Source organism: Homo sapiens, chromosome 12, assembly GCF_000001405.40.
Source record: "Homo sapiens chromosome 12, GRCh38.p14 Primary Assembly".
In the NCBI taxonomy this organism is placed as follows: Eukaryota; Metazoa; Chordata; class Mammalia; order Primates; family Hominidae; genus Homo; species Homo sapiens.
In genome coordinates, this window is record NC_000012.12 from 4,699,037 (window position 1) to 4,724,253 (window position 25,217).

The following is a 25,217-nucleotide window of genomic DNA, read 5'->3' on the forward strand; positions in this document are numbered from 1 at the left end:
ATTAAGTCATTGGCCGTTAGTTATCAGTTTAACCTTAAACCCCTTTTCCTTCGTCGGCGATCAAGGGATGGGGCTAAAACTCTAACCCTCTAATCCTACTTGGTGTTTTCAGTGACCAGCCCCCAGCCTGAAGCCACTCAGGGGATGCCAACCCTCAGTCAACTCATGAGCACACAAAAAGACATCACTTTGTGCCAGGTGCAGTGGCTCATGCCTGCAATCCCAGCACTTTAGGAGGCCGAGGTAGGCAGATTGCTTGAGCTCAGGAGTTCAAGACCAGCTTGGGCAACATAGCAAAACTCCGTCTCTACTAAAAATTACGTGGGCATGCTGGTGTGTGCCTGTAGTCCCAGCTACTTGGGAGGCTGAGAGGGAGGAGGTTGCAGTGAGCCGAGATCATGTCACTGCACTTCAACCTGGGTGACAGAGCCAGACCTTGTCTCAAAAACAAACAAACACAAAAAAAACATCGCTTTGAAGATTCTGAGGATTTTAGGAGTTATAGGCCAGGAAATAAATCCAAAGACCACATATTAATATATATTTTACAATATCACACTTTTGTTACACTTTTTTTCTAGGTGATTACTTGATTTTTAATATATAGAAGTTTACATTTTTATCTATTGAGATCTATTAAAGATGTATCTATTAAAGATTTTCATTTGTGGATTCTTCCAGTATTCTTCTCTTTTCCAATATCAAGTTAATACTTACTCATATTTTCTTTTTTTTAAATGTTTAACTCTAAAACATCTGAATTTTATTTCAGGACAGAGTATATAGTGAATCTGTGATTTCCTTTCCTTTTTCTGTTGCTTACCAAATAACCTTTTCTTTAGTCAATAATGCATGATACCATCTATGTCATAGGAGAAAGGTTAAATGCATGAATTCTGGAACCAGCCTGCCTGGTTTTAAATCCTAACTTCAACAACTGCTGGATTGGTGATCTTGGGCAAGTTTTTCTTAACCCCTCTGTGCCTCAGTTTGCTTATCTGTAAAATGGTTTTAATAGTGTCTACTCACACGATGGTCGTGAGAATTGAATGAAATAATGTATCTAGAGCACTTTGAAGCATGCCTGAAACATGACTAAATGCCACATATATGTTGGCTATTGTTATGTACCTAATTTTGTCACTATTTAGGTCTGGTTTGGAGCTCTACTGTTTCACAGACTACTTTGTGTCAAGTTGAATTCTATTTTAATTATTGTAGCTTTATAGTGTTTTTAATGTCCAGTGTTGTATACCTAAAGTCTACCTTGGTACCTGATGGATCAAGATCTTGGATGAAATGAGAAGTCATAGAATTGGGCTCAGAAAGGAAGAACACATTTTCTTCAAGAAAACATTTTGGAGAATCAACAGTTTGCTGTATTGTTTCATTTGTTTATTAATTATTTTATTCAGCATTTATTAAGACACTCCTATGTGTTGAACTCTGTTAGGTTATGCAAAGCAGAGATGAAGGAGATACTTTAAGGAGCAAAAGTCTAGTGGGGAAGACATGTACATTAACGGATAAATTAAAACAGCTCTGTGGAGCTTTTACAGAGATACAAGCCACATGGGAACGCAGGGAGCACTTCACTGGCTGAATAGGGAGTTAGGAAAAGCATCACGGGGAAGCTGACGTGTAAGCTGGATCTCACAGGATAGGAGTTTGGCACACCATGAAGCGAGAGAAAAGGGGAAGGACATTCTAGGCAGGAGGAACAAAGACACAGCGCTATGAAGAAACTTGGCTGGTCAAGTAGCGGGGGTCAGGCATGTACACGTACAGCACGTTAAGAGGCTTGGACCTCATCCAGCTGGAAATAGGAGCCACGAAAGGGCTTGAAGCAAAGCAGTGAAAGCAGATTTGTGCTTTGGGAAGGGCTCTCTGATTGTACCACATAAAGGGAGTCAGAAGGGGGCGGAGCTGGAGGCGGGAGACTGGCTGGGCCTGGGGAAGTCATTCAAGCAAGATGTGAAAAGTGGATAGAAAGATGTGGGTCAGTCTGAGGGATGTTTAGAAAGTTGAATGCGTGCTTCCGGTGATAAAGTGGATGTGGAAGATGAAGAATCACGGATGCTTCCGAAGTTCTTGGCTTGGGAACCTCGCTGGCTGGTGGTACCATTGACCAAGGCGTGGAACACTGGAAAAGAAGCAGATTTACAAGGGGAAGAAGATAAAATCAAAACTTTGAGGGTACCTGTGGAACATGGAAATATTCAAAAAGCAGAAAGGTATTTGACTAATAAGTTTGAAAAAGGCAAACCTAATTAGTGACCAAAGAATGCAAATTTAAATGACAATAAGGGATTTTTTTTCCCATGTAGCACATTAGTTAATAAACATTTTGAACGTTAGCCTTAGTGCTCTGCTGACTCCTTGTTCTCCTTCTGACCCTTACATCATCCCCACTGCATCCGTATGGAGTCCTTAGAGCTTCTCAGAGCATGATGGGAAAAACCACTGGCTTAGAGCACTAGGGATAAAAAGCCAAGCTCCTTGGAAAGGTAGAACTAGTCTTAGTTACTGGCAGCAGAGTTTCCTAATGGCAAACTGCCCAGGAAAGGGAAGGATGGCCAGAAAGCCTTCATCTGCAGCTGTGTTGGGGTGGGAGAAGGAACACTGGGAAGGAGGGTCAGGCTCTGTCCCAGGATCCGCCTCAGCCCTGAAGCAGAGAGCCTTTAGCAGAGCCGCTCCACCAGTTTGGAGGGTCACACCATCACTTGTCTGAATAAATCAGCTACATTCGCAATCAAGCCAAGATACCAACTCTGTACATATACACACACGCCTAACAAATATGCACGATGGGCTGTTTCTTACTTTGGCTATCGTCCTGAGAAGGTGTGAGAAAATGTATATGTTAAAGCCTCAGAGGCATGGATGGGAGTCTATTCCCAGAGAGATAGAAGTATGACAAAACCTCAAAATAAGTTTTTGAACACATTTCTCTCCCTGCCTCCCAAATGAGCTCATTGTGGCAACATTAGGAATGTCTAACAGAAGTCACAGCAATAGCAACAGCTGCCGCAGAAGCATCCACAGCCCAGGCTGCCTCCAGCCCTTCACAGAAATAGCAATCTTCACTCACTCCACCACCACCACCACCACCACCACCACCACCACCACCACCACCACCACCACCACCACCACCACCACCACCACCGCACATGCATGGAGCCCCTTGTTATCTGTGGATGCTGCTCTCACAATTCCTCTTCCTGCCCTGATGATGTACACCATCCCAGCATTGGATGAAACTGGAGTCCTATCTGGGCTATCCCTGGTCCAAAGTCTATAGCTAAGAGCTCAGGGTTCCAAGGAAGGAGAAAGAGAAGGCAAACACCAGGAAATTGTTTCATTTATTTAGCAGCCTCTCCGGCTCTCTCGCACTTCTTCAGTGATTTCAGAAAAGGAATTTTTTTTTTTCTGGAGTTTCTCATTGCCTTTATTTTTCTCATTCTGAAAAGACACATGCTTTAATTGTATCATTAGAATCTTCTATTTTGTTAATTATGCAATCTTATTAATATTCATATAAAAGTCTTTATTATTTAGGAGAGGAATAGCTGGATGATAGTGTAGGTCTATGCTTAACTTTATGAATGACTGTTCTGGAAACACCAGTTAAGCCATGTTGATTATGTTGTTCAGATCTTCTATATCATCACTGTGGTAGACAGAATTCTAAGATGGGCCTTATGATCCCCACTCCCTGATGTTACTCTCATGATTATATTATGTTATATGGCAAAATAGGATTTTGCAGATACAATTAAGATTACTAAGTTGACCTTAAGATAAGTAGATTGTCTGAGTAGACTTGCTACATTCGTATGAGCCCTTTAAAAGCAAATAGTTTTCTCTGACTAGTAGCTGAAGAGGAAGTCAGAGGGGCCCTGAGCATGAGGAGGATGTAATGTACAGTTGCAGGCTTTGATGAGGGAGGGGGCCAGGTGGCAAGGAATGCAGGTAGCTTCTAGGAGCTGAGAGCAGCCCTGGCTGACAACCAGCAAGGAACTGGGGACCTCAGTTCTATAACTGCAAGGAACTACATTCTGCCAACAACCTGAATGACGTTGTAAGCAAATTCTTCCCCGGGACTACAGATAAAACCCCAGGCCAGCTGACACCTTGATTCTGGCCTCCATAAACATTCAGCAGAGAACCCAGCTGAGACTGCCCAGACTTCTGACATTCAAAACTGTGTTGTTTTAAGCCACCAACTGTGTGATGATTTGTTACTCAGCAATAGGAAACTAATAAATATACTTACTTTTTGTTCTATTTTTTTGTTTGTTATTCTCTACATAATTGTAGATATGTATATTTAACTTTAGTTCTGTCAGTTTTTGCTTTATGTATTTTGATGATCTGTTATGTGGTTGTTGACTGAAATGAAGGCTGTTGAGACAGAAGTTATTTTATTTATTTTATTTTTTATTTTTAATAGAGATGGGGTCTCACTATGTCGTCCAGGCGGATCTCAAACCCGTGGGCTCAAGCAATCTTCCTGCCCCAGCCTCCCAAAGTGCTGGGATTACAGGCATGGGCCACTGTGCCCAGCCAGCAGAAATAATTTGATAAAGGTTTATTGGAAGCCAAATGTAAGGACTGACTTGGGAAAACACACCAACAAAGTTACACATGTTCTGGAGTCTGTTACAAATTGGAAGGCTTTTATAGAAAAGTTTAGGAGCAGGGAGGGGGACTCCTTATACCAAACTTGTCCTTTTTCATTGGAGGGTTCAATACAAAGATTGCAATCATTGAATACACATTACAACATACAGGTTAAAATGTCTACATGCAAGACCATCAGTAAAACTTCATGATTCAGCAATAAATCAGCATCCTTTTCAATGCCAGTAGGTTATGTATCAATCATTGCATCAATAATTTGAGGAACTCATAGTAAGATTCTTTATTCAAGGACAGAATGTCACCATAAGACCTTCCCAAGGTCAGTTACTTTGAAAGACTGTTGGCCGAGCGTGGTGGCTCACGCCTGTAATCCCAGCACTTTGCGAGGCCGAGGAGGGCAGATCATGAGGTCAGGAGTTCGAGACCAGCCTGGCCAATATGGTGAAACCCCATCTCTACTAAGAATACAAAAATTAGCTGGGCGTGGTGGCGCGCACCTGTAGTCCCAGCTACTCGGGAGGCTGAGGCAGAAGAATCACTTGAACCCGGGAGGTGGAGGTTGCAGTGAGCTGATTGTGCCATTGCACTCCAGCCTGGGTGAGAGAGGGAGATTCCATCTGAAAAAAAAAAAAAAAGAGAGAGACTCTTTTAAGTAAATTGTCAAATGTGGCCTGAAGGTTATCAAGGTATGTATACATTTAAGATTTTTATGTCCTATTGACTAATTGGTCCTTTTATTATTATAAAAATTACTTCTTTATCTCTGATAATACTCCTTGTTTGAAGTCTTTCTTGTCTGATATTAATATAACCACACCAATTTTCTTACCCTTAGTGAGTTGTTTTTTTTTTTTTTTTTTTTTTGGTATTTCTTTTTCAAATCTTTTACTTTTGACACACTTGTGTCTTATATTTAAGATGAGTCTCTTGGTGAGGATCAAAGAACTACCTATTGGGTACCATGCTTATTATCTGGGTGACAAAATAATCCGCACTCCAAACCCCTGTGACATGCAATTTACCCATATTACAAACCTGCACATGCACCCTTGAACCTGAAATGAAAGTTGGAAAGAAAAGATAAAATTAAAAAAAGTCTATTGTAAGCAGAATATAGTTGAGCCTTGCCTTTTTATCTAATGTAGCCCAGGGGTGAGCAAACGTTTTCTGTGGCAGACCAGATAGTAAATATTTTCGGCTTCGTGGGTCAGAAGGACTCTGTCACAACTACTCATTCATTTATGTATTCCAACAAAATTTTATTTTCCAAAACAGATTGGATGTATAATTTCTGGTTCAACATGTAAGAAGCTTAAGGGTCATCACTCTATCCTAACAATCAGTAAAAAGCTGAACAGGCCAGGTGCGGTGGCTCACGCCTGTAATCCCAGCACTTTGGGAGGCAGAGGTGGGCAGATCACGAGGTCAGGAGTTCGAGACCAGCCTGGGCAACATGGCAAAACCCCATCTCTACTAAAAATTCAAAAATTAGCCTGGTGTGGTGGTGGGCGCCTGTAATCCCAGCTACTCGGGAGGCTGAGGCAGGAGAAGCACTTGAACCCGGGAGGCAGAGGTTGCAGTGAGCCAAGATCGTGCCACTGCACTCCAGCATGGGCGACATGAGCAAGTCTCCATCTCAAAAAAAAAAAAAAAAAAAAAAAAAAACTGAACAAACTGGAAACTGAAAATCAACAGCTCTTCTTAGATCTCTCAGAAATTTGAGGCCACAGGGCAAACCACTGCCCCAAAATGGGAGAGACAGGCAGGTACAGAGGATCACAACTTATCAGAATAGAAACCCACAAGCAGAAAACTATGAGGGGGCCTGTGCTGGGATAGGAAATTGCTAGAGACTCAGTGTGGACAAGTCTGAGAGTTAAAATCTCCAGGGCTGTCAGGTATTAGGGGGCCACTTACACTTTTATGAGTTTTACCTCCAGGAGCTGAACCAGGTTCTCACAGTGAATCTCAAACATCCCCTTAGGCTCTGGCCGGAGTGGGAGAAAAGTAGACATTTTGAAGTAAGCTAGACCACTCTATTCTTCTTAACAAGCCTGAGCCTAACCTGACCCAGGAGTTTTGTCAGACCTGGGGGGAGAGAGATATCCAACTCCAGCCACCTCTAGTCATCCTGTCCCACCTATGGGGTAAAATAAAATTAAATTTAAAAAGGCAAAAAACACAGTTTGAGGTGAGAAGGCAAACATTAGCACCAGACTGAGGTATGGCAAGGATGTTGAAATTTTCAGACTAGGAATTTAAAATAACTATGATTAATATGGTAATTTCACTAATGATCAAAGTAGACAGCATGCAAAAATAGATGACTAATATATAAACAGAGAGATCAAAATTCTAAGAAAGAATAAAAAGATATGCTATAGATCAAAAACACTGTTACAGAAATGAATAATGCCTTTGAGGGGGTTATTAGTAGACTGGACTTGGATGAGAAAAAAACCTGAGCTTCAGGATATATCAATAGAAACTTCTATAACTAAAAGACAAAGAGAAAAAGATTTAAAAAAAGAACAGAATATTCAAAAACTGTGGGACAATTATAAAAGGCGTAATGTATGTGTAATGAACATACCAGAATGAGAATAAAGAGAGAATGGAATAGAAGAAATGCCTGAAGCAATAATAACTTGGAATATCCCCAAATTAATGTCAGACACCAAACCACAGATTCAGGATACTCAGAGAGTACAAAGCAGGAAAAGAGCCAAAATCTACACCTAGGTATTTCATACTTAATCTCCAGAAAATCAAAGATAAAGAAAAAATATTGAAACAAGCCAGGAGGATTAAAAAAGACCTTATTTATAGAAGGGCAAACATAAGAATTACATTTGACTTCACCTCAGAGGCCATGGAGGCAAGAAGAGAGTGAAGTGAAATATTTAATGTGTTGAGAGAAAAAAAAAAAAACCCATCTGCCTAGAATTCTGTATTTTGTGAAACTGTCCTTCAAAAGTAAAGGAGAAATAAATACTTTCTCAGACAAACAAAAATTAAGGGAGTATTTTGATAACGGGGGCATGATAAAGAGGTCGATACTTTAGGAAGATGTAACAATGCTTACTGTATATGCACCTAATAACACAGCATCAAATATGTGAGACAAAAACTGAAAGAACTGAAAGAGGACACAGATGTATTCACTGTTATAGTTGGAGACTTCTGCATCACTCTATCAGTAATAGATTCAGCAGGCAATCAGTCAGGACATAAGTTGAACTCAATAATACCATCAACCAACTGAATGTAGTTGACATGTATAGAACACTTCATCCGAGAACAGAAGATACAGATTCTTTTCAAGCTCACATGGAACATTCACCAAGGTAGACCACATTCTGGACAATAAAACCCGCCTTAACAAGTTTGAAAGAATAGAAATCATATAATATACGCTCTCAGACCACAATAAAATTAAGCTAGAAGGGTATCTGCAAAATCTAAAAACGTGGAGATTAAACAAAACACTTCCAAATAACGCAAAGGTCAAAAAAGAGATCTCAAGATAAATTTTAAAATGCTTTGAACTAAATGAAAATGAAAATACAACGTCAACATTTATGAAATGCAGTGAAAGCAATGTTTAAAGGAAAATTTATAGTATAGAATGTGTATACCAAAAAAGAAGATCTAAAATCAGTAATCTGAGCTTAACTAGAAAAAGAAGAGCAAATTAAGTCCAAAGCAAGCAGAAGAAAAGAAATGATAAAAATTAGAAAAGAAATCAATGAAATTGAAAACAAGGTATCAAGAGGAAAAACAGTGAACCCAAAGCTGATTCTTTGAAAAGATCGATTAAGTCAATAAGCCTCTAGTGAGAACAAACAAACAAAACAAACAAAAAGAGACAGGATACAAATTACTAAAATCAGAAATGAAAGAAGGGACATCCTTTACAGATACACGGACATTAAAAAAAAAAGAAATAAAGAAATACTTTATTTCTAGGAATAACTAGCCCACAAATTTGACAATCTAGATAAAATGGACCAACATTTTTGATTATTTGTTTTGTTTTTTTAATACAAACAACAATGAGCTTTCAATGACCAAGTTTTTGAAAAACAATCTGCAAAAACATACAAGAAGAAACAGACAATCTGAATAAGCCTATATCTATTTAAGAAATGGAATCCATAATCAATATTCTTCCAAAATAGAAAGCACAAGGCTCAGATCAATTTGCTGGTGAATTCTACCAAAAATTAAAGGAAGAAATTATGCTAATTCTCCATAGTCTCTTTCAGAAGACAGAAGCAGACGAAATACTTCCTAGCTCATTATTTGCAGCTAGCATTACTTTAATACCAAAATCAGACAAAGACTTTATAAGAAAAGTACAGACCAATATCTCTCATGAGCATAAATGCAAAAATTCTCAGCAAAATGTTAGGATATTGAAGCCAACAATGTAAGAAGAGAATTAAACACTACAACCAAACGGGATTTATTCCCGGTATGCAAGGCTGGCTCAACGTTAGGAAATCAGTAATATAATCCATACATCAACTGGTTAAAGCAGAAAAATCACATGATCATATTGATAGATACAGAAAGAGCATTTGACAAAATTCCAACACTCATTCATGATAAAAGCACTTACCAAACTGTGATTAGAGGGGAACTTCCTCAACTTAATAAAGAACGTCTCCAAAAAACTACAGCTAACATTATACCTACTGGCGAGAAACTAGGTTTTCAATTGAGATCAGAAACAAGAAAAGGATGTCTCCTCTCACCACTTCTTTTTAACTTTGTACTGGAAGTAAAGCAATAAAAAAGAGCAAGAAATAAAAGGAGCACAGGAAAGGAGAAATAAAATTGTCTTTGCTCACAGATGGTATAGCTGTCTTTGTAGAAAAATCCCAAAGAACCAACAGAAACCTCTTGGAACTAAGAAGTGATTATACAGTCTGGGGACTGTTGTGGGGTGGGGGGAGGGGGAGGGGGGAGGGGGGAGGGGGGACGGATAGCATTAGGAGATATCCCTAATGCTAAATGACGAGTTAATGGGTGCAGCACACCAGCATGGCACATGTATACATATGTAACTAACCTGCACATTGTGCACATGTACCCTAAAACTTAAAGTATAATAATAATAATAAAAAAAGTCAAACAAAAAACACAATTTTTCCCTAACGTTCTCTAATCCAATTGGACTTTTACAGTACTCTTAAAAATAATAAAATAGAATTTAAAAAAATGATTATAGCAAGTTTGTAGGATACAAGGTTAATATACAAAACTCAACCACTTTCCTATATATCAGCAATGAACAATTGGAATTTGAAATCATAACACCATTTATGTTATCATACCCCAAGAAAGAAATACTTAGGTATAAATCCAGTGAAATACATACAAGATTTATGTGAGGGAAACTACAACCTCTGATGAGACAAATCAAAGAACAACTAAACAAATGGAGAGATATTTTAAGTTAATGGATAGGAAGATTCAGTACTGTCAAGATTTGCATTCTTTCCAACTTGATCTATAGATTTAATGCAATCCCAATAAAAATCCCAGCAATTTATTTTGTGAATATCGAGAAATTAATTCTAAAGTTTATATGGAGAAGCAAAAGATCCAGACTAGCTAACACAATACTTAAGGAGAAAAAAAAATGGAAGGGCTCAGACTACCTGAATTCCAGACTCCGTTTTTTTTTTTTTTTTTTTTTTTTGAGACGGAGTCTTGCCCTGTCGCCCAGGCTGGAGTGCAATGGTGCAATCTCAGCTCACTGCAGCCTCCGCCCCACAAGTTCAAGCAATTCTCTTGCATCAGCCTCCCCAGTAACTGGGATTACAAGTATGTGCAACCACACCCAGCTAAATTTTTTTGTATTTTTTTAAGTAGAGACAGGGTTTCTCCATGTTGGCCAGGCTGGGCTTGAACTCCTGACCTTAAGTGATCCACCCACCTCAGCCTCCCAAAGTGCTGGAATTATAGGCGTGAGCCACCATGCCTGGCCTTCAGACTTCTTATAAAGCTACAATGATCAAGGCAGTGTGGTATTGACAAAAGAAGAGACAAATAGGTAAATGGAACAGAATAGAAACACTTTTCCTTTACTTGCCTGAAATTCCAAAGTATCTTTCCCTAAGTGCTTCTTCCAATTTTTGTATAAACTGATTAGTTCTACCTTGAATTATTTAACGTCTCACTAGAATGCCTCAATGAAATGGAAACTGGGCTGTTGGCTGGCAGGTGGCAGCTGGTAGGTAAGGCAGTGCTTCAAATCATTATCCATCAGATAACATATGAAGAACTGAGGCTTATGAAAGTGAATTACATGGACACGTATGGGCTGTATAAAAATTGTATCTACTCTAAAGTAGTTCTGATGCTAGTGGCCAAGTCTTCCTTGCTAGGTCATTAATGAAACCCATAAGCAGGCATGGTAAACAACAACAACAGCAACAGCAACAGCAAGACAAATAATCCAGACCCCATATTTTAGTTCTGGTCCCAGTTATCTTCTGTTGCCTTGTTCTGCAATCTATATTGGCCTGTTTTCCAGGATAATCTTTTTCCTTGGGTCAATTCCCTTTTTCAAAAATCAGTACTGTGGGATGATTCATTAATTACAAAGAATTCTGTCACTCTGCCATTGCTCAAAGTTAAATATTTAGCAACAATATTGACTACACCATTGGTTCTTCCTCTTTATACTTTACATGCAGCTGCATTATGTATTATCATGCTGTCCAATTCTGCGGTATGATTATTTTTCCTCTGTTGGTATGGTTGGAGAGATTTGTCAAAGCCTCTTGATTTTTGTGGAAAAGACCATGTTTAAATTGAGTTATGCCTGAAAGCTTTTTTACTCAGGAAACTTACTTATGATTTCTTCCTGGGTCATATTATCTCTTTTTCCCCTCCTGGATGAGCAGTTGGGGTCAAAACACTTACATCTGTGTCATATATAGAGCAGCACAATGATAAATATATAGACAACCAACCCAGGTGATCAGGAAGGACACTAGGAAGTGGATTTATATGAAAAAGGAAAACGACATACAGGCTGTCTGTACTAAGCCCCAAGAAATATGACCTAAAACACTAAAAAGATAAGGATGCAATCTGATCTAGAGTGAATATTATTGAACCTTCTTGTCCTCAGTTTCCTTACCTATGGAATGAAATAATAATTCCTGCATCACAGGGCGATCATGAAGATCAAATGAAATCACATGTGCGATATACCTAACACTGGATGGCCCTTACAAGATGCTTACAAAATATTTATTTCTTTTTTTCCCCTCCATCACATGCTCACAATCTATAAATAAGCTTTTTTTTAGCGATCATTATCAATCTTACTCGTTGTAAAATGAATGAATCTTCTCAAGTTGCACAATTACTTGTCTTTTTTAAATTTTTATTTTTTAGAGATGGGGTCTTGCTATTTTGCCTAGGTTGGTCTTGAACTCCTTCTACCTCAGCTTCCTAAGTAGGTGGGACTATGGGTGACTGCCATCACACCCGGCTCTGTACAGATATTTATAACTGATTTAGTAAGAATACAGCTTAATGTCTTGAGAACATCTTATTCCCAAATAAGAATAGAATGTGCAGAAATTTTAGTGATGAAATATGAAGGAGGAGTTTCTCCCACAAAAGGTCAGAATAATGATCAACAAAAATAATCCTTTCTGAAACGTCTCCTGTCTGACTAGAGGCTTTTGCGGCAAGGGAGAGAAAAGAAAGGCATTATTAATGGTCGAATCACCATTTTTTCCCTAATAGGATTTAAGACAACATAAACATAAAATTTTCCATTGTTATTGAATGTTCCATTGTTATGTTTAATTCCAGTACACTTCTACTCTCACAACTATATTCATTTCCTCTGAGGAAATTTTCTACCCTGTCCTTGATGTCTTTCCAGTGCTTGAGACTCAAATTTCCATTTGCTTACAGGACACATCTGATCTTCAGAGGCCTTCCGATGAAACATGTGCCTAGTTGACCTAGGTGTTTCCTCTCGTCTCTCTTCTTCCCCTTTGTTCTCTCCCTCTGTTATGGGCACTACCAAGCACACAGGTGCAAAAGCTGGACCTTCGGTTCCTCCTTCATCACTTCTTTCCCCTCTGTCTGTTTTCAAATGGCTACCACGAATAGTGATTCTACTTTAAAATATCACTAATTTATAAATGGTTTCCGTTATAAAGCTGATAGGACCATGTCAGAATAATAAAAAATAGAAAAAGAAAATTAATTGCCTATAGTCTAACTACCATAAGACGACCATTCTTGCAATTTCAACATATTTCCTTCTAGTCTTTTTAGAAATTGTATTTCTGTTTGGTTTTCTTGTTTTAGTTTTCTTTCCTTTTTCGTCTCTCTTCCCCCAACACCACCTCTTAGCTTTTTGAGCTTTTCCTTACTTTCTGGTACTATGAAATGCTTTGGGTTCATCTTGTATTTTGCCTGCTTCAGATTTTAGAATCAATCATGTTTCCAAAGTTACACTGGTTCCTCGTATTGAAGAATCTGGGCATTGGGTTTTCTTTTACACATGGCTGTAATCACAGTCTTGCATTGAAGTGGGAGTGAGGTTTCCATCTGGTTTCTAAGCTATGCTTATTGCTTGGGCTTAGTCATCTATGGGCACAACTGGCAGGGTGGTAGGGTAGGCAACCAGGAGTCTACTAAGACCTAGGGAGCCTCCTGGGAAAGAAACAAGCTAAGGAAAGGAATCAGGCAGACAAGTGTGGTCAAATACAATGTCCTCATCCCCCGAGCGAAAAGTGATTCTGACTAGGTGTGGCAGGTGACATTTGGATGATCTCTGACTTAACATTTCTGCCATTCTTTGTTGGGTTTGTGTCCTAGGGAGCAAAATGGCTGTCTGTGGGTAAACACTCAAAGTCATTTTCACTACATACTGTAAGATAATGGACTATAAGATACATTGACTTTGCCGCTTATCACCCTCAACTGCGTGGAGCATGAAAAGTAGGGTGAGCTTTTCCAGCTTTGTCATAGACAGTCTCATGGTTTTGAGCACTTCTAAGATGCCCATTCTCTGAGGCAGTAGGGGCCTGGGTATTCCACAGAGGAATGGGCTGTGAGCGGCTGCAGGGTTTGGTGGAGAGACAACTTAGGCAAGACTGCTGAGGAACTTGAGAAAGAAAGCTGTAAGATGCTACCTGGAGCCTTGCTGGGCCCCTTCAGAGACCCCTCTGAGGACCTTGAGAAGTACTTGAGGAGACTTTGCAGAAGCTTGGAATCCTATGTCAGCAGATGTGGTAAGGGTACAATAAATTTGGGCTGTTAGTGGCACTGTGACACTATTTAGGACTCCTGTAAGTCCCCATTTGGAAAGCTCAACAATTTTCTAGCCTTTTTTTGTTCACTTAGCATTTTATTATAAGCTGTTTTCCATGTTGCAATATGGCTTTCAAAATTTTAAAACAAAAACCACAGCAATGAGTGCACAGTGAAAATCAGTGATATTGCACAGTGAAAATTAGTCTCCTCCTACCTCTATCTCTCAGTTCTCCAATCCCCGCCAACTCTAGAGGTAACCACTGTCTTTGTGTTTGCATGCGTGTGTGTGTGTGTGTGTGTGTGTGTGTGTGTGTGTGTGTTTTGAGACAACGTCTGGCTCCAGGCTGGAGTGCAGTGGTTTAATCTCAGCTCACCACAACGTCTACCTCCTGGGCTCAAGCCATCTTCCCACCTCAGCCTCCCAAGTAGCTGGGACTACAGGTGCCCTCCACCTCCTCCCACCCAGCTCATTTTTGTATTTTTTTTTTTTAGAGATGGGTTTTTGTCATGTTGTCTAGGCTAGTCTCGAACTCGTGAGCTCAAGGGATCCACCTATCTCAGCCTCTCAAAGTGCAGGGATTACAGGCATGAACCATCTTGCCTGACTTCGTGTGTGTTTTTAATAAAGACTTTGTAATTTTAGAAAATTACCTAATGTTTATTGAATATGCCAGACAAGTTACAAACGTTATCCCATATCCCATAACAGCTCTTCAAAGAAGAGTATTATTTATCCCCATATTGCACATCAGGTAAATTAGGTTCAGAGACATGAAATAACTTGCCTTAGTTTACCTGGCTAGTAAGTAATAGAATTATTACCTCGCTCTAAAATCTATACTTTTTCCAACAGTATCTCCTTGCTGTCCATAATATTCTAATATTCTGTGGAGTGGAGATGGCATAATTTACTTAACTATTATGCACTGTTAGTTATTTAACTATTCACTTGCGGTTGGAAACTTTAGGTCAGCTTATTATTATTTGCTATTATAAACGAAAATGAGGTAGACAGCTCTTATCATCTTATCACAGTCCCCGCCTCCGCCTCCACGTTCTGACTGCTTTTATCCATTTGATCTTCATTAAAATAATTTGTGGCCGGGAGTGGTAGCTCATGCCTGTAATCCCAGCTATTTGGGAGGTTGAGGCAGGCAGATTGCTTGAGCTCAGGAGCTTGAGACCAGCCTGGGCAATAAAGTGAGATCTCAGCCCTATTTTCTGTTTTTTATTTTTTTTTTGGAGACGGAGTCTTGCTCTGTTGCCCAGGCTGGAGTGCAATGGTGCGATCTTGGCTCACTGCAACCTCTGCCTCTCAGGTCCAAGCAATTCTCCTGCCTCAGCCTCCTGAGTAGCTGGGACAACAGGCATGTGCCCCTATGCCTGGCTAATTTTTTGTATTTTTAGTAGAAATGGGGTATCACCGTGTTAGCCAGTATGGTCTCAGTCTCCTGACCTTGTGATCCGCCCGCCTCAGCCTCCCAAAGTGCTGGGATTACAGGTGTGAACCACCGTGCCTGGCCCCTACTATTTTTAAAATAATAAAAAAAAATTTCTACTTTCTTGTCCCCATAACCTTCCTTACACATGCTCCCTTTGCTGGAGGAACTGACACACACACACATACACACACATGCACACGCTAAATCTTTCAAGATGCCACATCCCTAGGCAGATTGGTCACTTGCCCTTTCATGACCCTTGGTGCAAGTTGGGGCCTCCTACAGGGTGGTAAGCACATTGACTCTAACTGTAAATCAGCCCCTCTCCCATGGATTTGCGGGCGCCCTCGGGTCAGAGTGTAAACCTGTTCATTTAAGGGATTTGTTAAAAGTGCAGGCGTCCGGGTCTCCTAATGACCTACAGAATAGGATCTTTTGGCTTAGAACCTGGACATCTGCATTTTTACCAAGCTACCCAGGTGAATTTTATGAAGTAAACACTGGAAGAACACTGCCCCAGTGTTCTGATCAGTGATTGGATGCATGAGAGGGCACCCAGTGTTCCCAGAAAGAGGGGTCTCGTCAGCGTCTTAGTGGAGAAGGGCAAGTGCACGCGAGACTGCAGAGGAGTATTTGCTGGCCTCTCTAGCTGAGTGAACTTTGACCTATTCTAGACAGCAGTAAACTGGCACCGATTATGGTGCAATGTTTGATCAAATTATTTTATTTATTTTTAATGGATAATTCATGTAATAAGACACAAAATGTAGAATATATTTAAAAAATTACACAGTGAAAGCAGTCTCCTCCCACCTCTAGCCCTCAGTCCTCCAATGCCTGCCGACTCTAGAGGTAGCCACGATTTTTGTGGTGTTTTTAATAAAGACTTTGTAATTTTAGAAAGTGATCTAGTTCAGCAGTCACTTTATACAGGGTAGGAATCTTTTTGTTTTAAAAGAAAACAATTTGGAAATAATTACAGATTCACAAAATTTGCAAGAATTGTACAGAGCAGTTCTGTATACCTCTTACACCCAGTTTTTCCCGATGACTACGATTATATTTATATAACTGTATATATAACTATATAACTGAGCAGTGATTGGATGAATGAGAGGGCACCTAGTATTCCCAGAACGAAGATATCTAACTGCATTTGTAACTATAGTGAAATAGCAAAGAAGCTGATGACACTCCTATATTATATATGTAGTTATGTAACTATAGTGCAATAGCAAAAGCAGAAAATTGACATTGATACTGTGTGTATATAGTTCTATGCAATTTTATCACATGTAGATATTACATGTAGACATGCAAACACTGTCACTCAAGATACTTTAGAACTATGTAATCACCATTGTATATACATAACTTAACACAGTCTACTGGTGTTACCATTTTACCAGTCCACGTGAAATGAAGAAACGTTACCTTATTTAAGTCCCTAATTTGCCCTCCCCCATATATAGTATAATTGTCTTAAATATCTCTTCCATATATTTTCAGACCACAGCAGACAATGTTATGATTTTTGGTTGCCAAACGTAATTTAGAAAACTCAAGAGGAAAAGGAAAGTCTTTTGTATTTACTCAGATTTTAACATTGTTCTTTTGTTTTTCTTGTTCCAAGATTCTTTCTTTTGTCATTTCTTTACTTAGAACAATTTCTGTAGTCATCCTTTTGAGGTAAGTCTGCTGGAAACAAATTCTACTAGTTTTCTTATCTGAAGATGTCTTGATTTCTTCTCCATTCCTGAAGGGTATTTTTGTTGGATACAGGATTCAGGATTGACCATTCTTTTCTTCCAGCACTTGAAAAGTTGTGATACTTTCTTCAGGTCTTCTTGATTTCTGATGAGAACTCTATCATTTGAATTGTTTTTCCCCTATAAGTGTCATTTTTCTCTTGCTACTTTTAAGAATTTTTATTTGTCTTTAGTTTTTAGAAGTTTGATTATAATGCATCTGGGCATCAGATGATCATGAATTTCTTTGAGTTTGTCCTATTTGGGGTTTGCTCAGCATCTTGAATCTGTAGGTTTGTGTCTTTTGCCAACTTTTGGAAATTTCTTTTTTCTTTTCTTTTCTTTTTTTTTTTTTTTGAGACAGAGTTTTGATTTTCTTGCCCAGGTTGGAGTGCAGTGGCGCGATCTCAGCTCATTGCAACCTCCACCTCCTGGGTTCAAGTGATTCCCCTGCTTCAGCCTCCCATAGCTGGGATTACAGGTGTGCACCACCACGGCCAGCTAATTTTTTGTAATTTTAGTAGAGATGGGGTTTCACCATGTTGGTCAGGCTGTGGCCCCACAGTCTCGAACTCCTGACTTTAGGTGATCCACCTGCCTCAGCCTCCCAAAGTGTTGGGATCACAGGCCTGAGCCACCGTGCCCAGCCAGCCCTTATTTCTTTACATTCTTATTTAGCCCCACATTTTGTCTTTTCCTTCTAAGGCTCCGATGACATGAATATTAGATCTGTTGTTGTAATCTCACCGGCCTTTGAGGTTTAATTTTTTTTTAGTCTACTTTCTCTCTGTTTTTCAGATTGAGCATTTTCTATTATTCCATCTTCAAGTTCACTGATTCTTTTCTCTGTCCTTATTCTACAGTTGAGGCCTACCCAGTGATTTTTAAATTTTGTTTATTGTATTTTTCACTTATAAAATTTCCATTTGTTTCTTTTTTATGTCTTCAATTTCTTTCCTGAGATTTCTATATCTTTGCTAAAACATCTGATTTCCTTGCTGTTTCTTCATTCGTTTCAAGCATGTTCATAATCAGTCGTTCAAGCAATGTTACTATGGCTGCTTTTAAATCCTTGTCAGACAATTCCAGCATCTGTGTCATCTTGGTGTTTGTGTCTGCTTTAATTTTTTTTTTTTTTTGAGACACAGTCTCACTCTGTCACCCAGGCTGGAGTGCAATGGCACGATCATGGCTCGCTGCAGCTTCAACCTCCTGGGCTCAGGTGATCCTCCCACCTTAGCATCCTGGGTAGTTTGGGCCACAGGCATGTGCCACCATGCCTGGCTGATTTTTTTAAATTTTTTGTAGAGATGGGGTTTTACCGTGTTGCTCAGGCTGGTCTTGAACTCCTGGGCTCAAGTGATCTGCCTGCCTCAGCCTCCCAAAGTGCTGGGATTACAGGTGTGAGCCACCATGCCATGCCAATTTAAAAAAAAGTTTATTTTTTAGTAGAAACAGGGTCTCAGTATGTTGCCCAAGCTGCTCTCAAACTCCTGGGAATCAAGCCATCCTCCTCCTGCCTCAGCCTCCCAAAGTGCTGTGATTGCAGGCATGAGCCACCATGCCCGGCTGGTGTTGCTGTCTGTTGATAGGCTCTTCCAAGTTGAGATTTTCCTGGTTGTTGATATGACAAGTGATTTTCTATTGCATCTTGGCCATTCTGAATATAACTTTTTGAGACTCTGGATCCTATGTAAATCTGTTTTAGCAGGCCTTTCATACACTGTTCTGGTGGGGAGAGGGAGATTTCATCTCATCGCTGCCAGGTGGGAGAGGAAGCCCAGGTTCCATGCTTGGCCTCCACTGACACCTGGTGGGGAGGGCTGCCTCATTACTGATGGGTGAGGGAGGGAGTTCAGGTTCCCCACTAGCCCTCTGCTGACACCACACTGGCTGAAAAGGGGAGGGCCACTGTTCCTTTACTGATATCATGTGGGGACAATGACAAAAATGCCAGCTCCCCAAGAGACCTTCACTGACACACCCTGGAGGGGAAGGTGGGGGATGCAGGGGCAAACCCTCACAGCTGGGGTGAGGTTGGAAGTCTAGGCTCCCCACGAGGCCTCTGTGGATGTGGTGGGCATGGCACTGCAAGGTTTTCAGTGGCATTTGGCTGGAGTAGGGCAGTTGTTGTCTAAACATCTTCTGTCTTGCTAGGCTTCCCATTTCCTGTTTCTTTGGTTAGAGAAAGCAGCTTTTTCTTGGGGCTTCTATTGTCTCTGCCCATTGCATTTCCAAGTTGTTGACTGCTCCAGCATCCAGCAACTTGGAATCTATTTCCTACAATAGCTAGGATATCTGGAGATCTCTAGTCAGCCTGCCCTGTTCTCTCTACCTTTCAGAGTCTTCTTAGGTTTGTTTTACATATCATGTGTACTTTTTACTTGCCTTGATGGGAAGGAATAGAGAAGATAAATGTAGGTATTTCTTCTTGTCCCAGAAGCAGAAGGGTTATGCTTTTTTGTTTGTTTGTTTTTTGTAGTTGTTGTTGTTGTTGTTTGAGATGGAGTTTTGTTCTTGTTGCCCAGGCTGGAGTGCAGTGGCGCGATCTCGACTCACTGCAACCTCCGCCTCCTGGGTTCAAGCGATTTTCCTGCCTCTGCCTCCCAAGTCGCTCGGATTACAGGTGCCTGCCACCATGCCCAGCTAATTTTGTTATTTTTAGTAGAGATGGCGTTTCACCATGTTGGCCAGGCTGGTCTTGAACTCCTGACCTCAGGTGATCCACCTGCCTCGGCCTCCCAAAGTGCTGGGATTACAGGCGTGAGCCACTGCGCCTGGCTGGATCATGCGTTTCTTATGTTTTGAGTCTAATTTGCAAGTGGGAGGCTGGGAGACATTTTCTATCCCTGCGAAACAGAAGAAGTGATTCCTTTTCATTTTGTTCATTTTCATCCTGTTTTTCCTAAAGCCACATTACTTTCCTTTAATCCACATGTCCGCCTCAGCACATGTCACCATGTGCTGTGTTTGGGACGTAGTAAATAGTCCAAAGAGCCAGGCCGGGGTGGAAGCTGTGATTTTGACGGGATTGACAGTAGACTGAGAACTTTGAACTTTTAGCCTTGGGGAACAATTTTATGTGTTTATTCTACAATGATGATCACTGGTGATTTGTCCAAAACATATTATAAGTGTGAGGTGTGGAGGCAAAGGAGTTACTGGAAGCTGGGGCAGGGCAGAAGCCCAGTGTATGAAGTTGTGCAGAGGACAAGCAAAGGACAGAGACCAGTGAATCGGAGTCATCCCCTGAGGCTCAACCCCGGGCACCGCCTCCAGCTCTTCTCCACCTGCTTCTAGGCAGTGAAGTCCTAGGAACTAGCAAGAAAGTCTGTCCTTAAGTTTGTGGGACAAGCATTTGTTGCACACCTACTATGTCCAAAACCCTGTAGAGTTAGGTAAAAAGACATCTTAGATCCCAGCTCTCCAAAAAAGCAAGGATCTAAGTGTACAGAGACTTCTTGCTTCGTGATTTCTTCTTCATCCTATTTATCCCCTTCTTATACCCACAGGACCAGACCTCACATGCCCTATCAGAGTCTCCCAGGTGGTTTTTCCAGGGAGAGAGAACATTAAACATCAAACAAACATATATAGAGAAAAGCCTCTCACCCAGGCAGCCTGAGCTAGCTGCAGGAGCAAGCATTCTTCTGACTTCTGAGACAGTACAAGGTGTGTCCAGGTGACTTACCTGTCACTGGGCAGCTGCCATGCGCACTCCTCACACCTGACGCTGCTCAGGGAGAAGCCAGGCAGCTATAATAGTGTTCTTGGCCGGAGAACATCTGGCCTAGCAGGCAGGGTGTCATCTATGAAGCTGGGTGGAGAGAAAGCTGTTGGGGAAACCAGCCCCACACCACCCAGCGGATACCCCGAGTCCGGCGGAGACAAAGGAGTTAGAAAGAGACAGAACAAGCGTTTAAAAGGCAGGTCCAGGGGACCAGAGCGTTGGAGGCTTGCTCACGGCCCAGAGCTCTGGGCTCCACCCAATTTATTGGTTTACAAGCTCTTTGTTCTTAGGGCAGATGGGAAGGGGAGGAAGGGATGAGGAAAAGGATTAATCAGTGAGTCATTCGATAAGATGTGTAACAGTGGCGGTTTCTGTGAATTTCCTTGAGCAAAGGCGTGTGTCTAAACTACTTAAGATCTTTAATGACTGAAATGGGTGGGAGTGGGTTTCAGGAGGAGCCAAGATGTTTGATTATACTCCTCTGCTTCAAGGGAGTGTTATCTCCCTGAGCAACCTGTGGAAAGCCGCTGAGCAACCTGTGGAAAGCCGCTGAGCGGTTATCCTCTCGGGGCATAAAGACAAAGAAGGCAATAAGGAGACTTTGCTCCTCAGAGGCCACCCGTGGCTTCCCATGGGTGTCTCACACAGGGGAGACCAACTCAACTGGCACCTAGAACTCTCTTTCCCACAAAAGCTAGGCTGGTTCTGATTCTTAACCTGCTCCAGCAGTGACACACTCAGTCCCACAGGGAGTGGACGACCCCCAGGAAGAAGATGATGTTTTGGAGGAAACTCCCCAAAGCCCTCTTCATTGGGCTGACTCTGGCCATTGCTGTCAATCTCCTTCTGGTATTTTCTAGCAAGGGGACTTTACAAAACCTGTTTACGGGTGGTCTCCACAGGGAGCTTCCTTTACATCTGAATAAACGCTACGGGGCAGTGATAAAGAGACTCTCCCACTTGGAGGTGGAATTGCAGGATCTGAGTAAGTTTACAATGCTAACCTGGAAGGTGTGTGTGTGGGTGTGTGTGTTTGGGGCACTTAGGAAAAAGGGATATGGAAGGAAAAATGGGTGAGAGGTCACATTTTCATCTCAGTCGCTCATTGAAGCATCTGACACTGAATTCTGTGCCTTCAAATGGGAGATGGGTATTGAGAATGAAGTGAGTAGAAGTGGAAATTAGAGCAAGCAGTATGGGGGAGGTGAGCATGTGTGTGTGTATGCGTGTGTGGGCTTGTGCACATGCATTATCATTATATCTACATATGTGCAGGCAACGAGAAGAATAAGAATCCCAAGGGCCATAGACCTGTCCTTAGGCCTATTGAAGGGGTGGGTTGCACCTCCACACCTGTGGGTGTTTCTCGTTAGGTGGAACGAGAGACTTTGGAAGAGAAAAAGACACAGAAACAAAGTATGTAGAGAGAAATAAGGGGGCCCAGGGGACCAGCGTTCAGCATACGGAGGATCCCGCCAGCCTCTGAGTTCCCTTAGTATTTATTGATCATTCTTGGGTGTTTCTCGGAGAGGGGGATGTGTCAGGGTCATAGGATAATAGTGGAGAGAAGGTCAGCAGATAAACACGTGAACAAAGGTCTCTGCATCATAGACAAGGTAAAGAATTAAGTGCTGTGCTTTAGATATGCATACACATAAACATCTCAATGCCTTAAACAGCAGTATTGCTGCCCGCATGTCCCACCTCCAGCCCTAAGGCGGTTTTCTCCTATCTCAGTAGATGGAATATACAATCGGGTTTTACACCGAGACATTCCATTGCCCAGGGACGGGCAGGAGACAGATGCCTTCCTCTTGTCTCAACTGCAGAAAGGCGTTCCTTCCTCTTTTACTAATCCTCCTCAGCACAGACCCTTTACGGGTGTCGGGCTGGGGGACAGTCAGGTCTTTCCCTTCCCACGAGGCCATATTTCAGATGGTCACATGGGGAGAAACCTTGGACAATACCTGGCTTTCCTAGGCAGAGGTCCCTGTGGCCTTCCGCAGTGTTTTGTGTCCCTGGGTACTTGAGATTAGGGAGTGGTGATGACTCTTAACGAGCATGCTGCCTTCAAGCATCTGTTTAACAAAGCACATCTTGCATAGCCCTTAATCCATTTAACCCTGAGTCGACACAGCACATGTTTCAGGGAGCACGGGGTTGGGGGTACGGTTACAGATTAACAGCATCTCAAGGCAGAAGAATTTTTCTTAGTACAGAACAAAATGGAGTCTCCTATGTCTAGTTCTTTCTACACAGACACAGTAACAATCTGATCTCTCTTTCCTTTCCCCACGCCTATGTGTGGTAGGGGCTGTTGAAGAGAGGTGGCAATCTCTGGGGCAAGGGCCTCGCTTCCATTTTGCGGTGTGCTCCTTTCATGAACTAATGAGGGCTTTGTTAGAGGACCTAAGATCGAATCCTGATGTGCCATTGTGGTTGTGTGACTTTGAGCAAGTGCTTCTCTCTCTCAGCCTCAGGTTCCTGGTCTGTAAATGGAGATGATGATAACAATAGTGATAGTTATCAACCTGACCTAATAGGGTTGTGAAGTAGATGCAGAAGGTGATCTATAAACTGCTCTGTGCCAAATTTTAACCTCCTCATTTAAACTTAAGGGTAAGATTTCAACACATTCTGGGGTTTGTTTGTGATTCCGGCTCACCATGGAAGTCTAATGCCTCTGAATTTTATGTGCCTGTGCATCCAACTTCAGCAAGGGAAGCAGCAATTTCCCCCTGCTCCCAGGTAACAGGGATCAAATGCTGGAACCCCATAGGGAGGTGTTTTATGTGTGGGCAGGGATGTGACTGCCCAGGTGTGTGCACATGGGGCTGGAGTTGGGGAAAGTGTCTTTTAAAATGAGAACTGAGCATTGTCAGGGTTCAGGGTGAGGCTGGGAGATGGGTGGAAGGAAAGGCAGGAAGAGAAAAAGGAAGGGAGAGAAGAAATCAGGGAAAGAGCGAGGAGAGTGAGAAGGGAGATGAGAGAGGAGAAAAGAGCTGGGACAGGAAAGGAGCAGAGAAGTGAGGGAGTCCAGGGAGAGAGAGTGAAAGAGTTTGTATGGAGACAAGAAGAAAAGAAGGGAAAGTGTGATGGGAGAGAAGGAGAGAATAAAAGGAGAGAGGAGGAGTCCTAAGGCACCCATAGCACCTTCCACGTCCTCCTTCATAAGACTCATCATATTTTATTATGGTACAGTTTTATGGAAAGCAAGTTTCATAAGTGCTGTTTCCATGAACGTCTCATTCACTACTCATTTCTATTCATACATCGAAATTCCATAGATGAATAAATGAGTGGGTGTGTCTAGGAAAGAGAGAGAAAAAGACAGGCAGACAGGGATGAAGGGAAGAGTGATACGGGGCAAGAGAGTGGATGAAACAGAGGGAAGATCATCAGCTCCACAAGCCCTGGCTTACCTGGGTGGGTCGGACATTGCCCATGCAAATATGCTTGGTGCAGCTTCACCAGGAGGATGCCTGTGTACCTAGGGTGGTGACCCCAGCACCACCCTCACTATTTGGCAGAGCACCCAGACCACACCAGGACTGTCTCACCCATCCCCAAGGCTCATCACACTGGCTCAGCCTCCTCAAGCCGTAAAATGGCAGGAGTTCTACCCAAAGCCCTGCTATTCTTTCCATCAGCTAGGACACAATGTGCCATGAGGAGCCAGCCAGAGCCATCTGGTTTACTCCTCTTTCCTTTTTTGCAAAGATCTTTCTTGTTATTCTTGGTGCTCCCACATTTTATTCGCTCTGAAATGTTGTGATGTCAGAGACTCACTACCACCTGAGTTGAACCTCAAAAAGTCTTCTGGGCCCTGTTTCTAGATCACCAATGCTTTTTTTTTTTTTTTTTTTCCACAGAGCTTCCTATAACTAAAAGCCTGTTTAATTACCCTTCATCCTGTTTGCTCATTGCCTCCAGGATTCCAGGAAGATTTAAAAAAATCAGAAGTCGGCCGGGCGCGGTGGCTCACGCCTGTAATCCTAGCACTTTGGAAGGCCGAGGCGGGTGGATCACGAGGTCAGGAGATCGAGACCATCCTGGCTAACACGGTGAAACCCCGTCTCTAGAAAAATACAAAAAATTAGCTGGGCGTGGTGGCGGGCGCCTGTAGTCCCAGCTACTCGGGAAGCTGAGGCAGGAGAATGGCGTGAATCTGGGAGGTGGAGGTTGCAGTGAGCTGAGATCGTGCCACTGCACTCCAGCCCGGGTGACAGAGCGAGACTCCGTCTCAAAAAAAAAAAAAAAAAAAAAAAAAAATCAGAAGTCAATAAGGATACTTAGTTGAATCATGTAAGCTACCAAGAGCAAATGCAAACAATAATAATTATATCCCTA

General features: G+C 41.8%; 1 protein-coding gene and 1 long non-coding RNA gene across 2 annotated transcripts in view, besides 3 other annotated features; one reads left to right on the forward strand and one right to left on the reverse strand.

Annotated features, from left to right (window-relative positions):
• Window positions 1-1,380: 1,380 nt before the first annotated feature.
• On the reverse strand, window positions 1,381-21,066 carry GAU1 (GALNT8 antisense upstream 1). Its single transcript, NR_110112.1, has 4 exons — window positions 20,829-21,066; window positions 5,142-5,261; window positions 4,277-4,404; window positions 1,381-2,143 (listed from the first exon to the last, which is right to left on the reverse strand). It is a non-coding gene; the product is annotated as a GALNT8 antisense upstream 1 (long non-coding RNA).
• Window positions 20,485-21,480: an enhancer, noted in NCBI's record as "NANOG-H3K27ac-H3K4me1 hESC enhancer chr12:4828687-4829682 (GRCh37/hg19 assembly coordinates)". NCBI's record gives its function as "activates a minimal SCP1, AML or CMV promoter by ChIP-STARR-seq in naive and primed H9 embryonic stem cells {active_cell/tissue: H9 hESC(naive and primed)}" and the evidence as "EXISTENCE:reporter gene assay evidence [ECO:0000049][PMID:30033119]".
• Window positions 21,364-25,217, forward strand: part of GALNT8 (polypeptide N-acetylgalactosaminyltransferase 8) — a 52,327-nt gene continuing 48,473 nt past the window's right edge. Inside the window, exon 1 of the mRNA NM_017417.2 lies at window positions 21,364-21,852. Coding sequence (NP_059113.1) covers window positions 21,642-21,852 — 211 coding nt within the window. The 5' untranslated portion in view covers window positions 21,364-21,641. The remainder of the gene's footprint in view (window positions 21,853-25,217) is intronic.
• Window positions 21,481-22,476: an enhancer, noted in NCBI's record as "NANOG-H3K27ac hESC enhancer chr12:4829683-4830678 (GRCh37/hg19 assembly coordinates)". NCBI's record gives its function as "activates a minimal SCP1, AML or CMV promoter by ChIP-STARR-seq in naive H9 embryonic stem cells {active_cell/tissue: H9 hESC(naive)}" and the evidence as "EXISTENCE:reporter gene assay evidence [ECO:0000049][PMID:30033119]".
• Window positions 22,477-23,472: an enhancer, noted in NCBI's record as "OCT4-NANOG-H3K27ac-H3K4me1 hESC enhancer chr12:4830679-4831674 (GRCh37/hg19 assembly coordinates)". NCBI's record gives its function as "activates a minimal SCP1, AML or CMV promoter by ChIP-STARR-seq in naive H9 embryonic stem cells {active_cell/tissue: H9 hESC(naive)}" and the evidence as "EXISTENCE:reporter gene assay evidence [ECO:0000049][PMID:30033119]".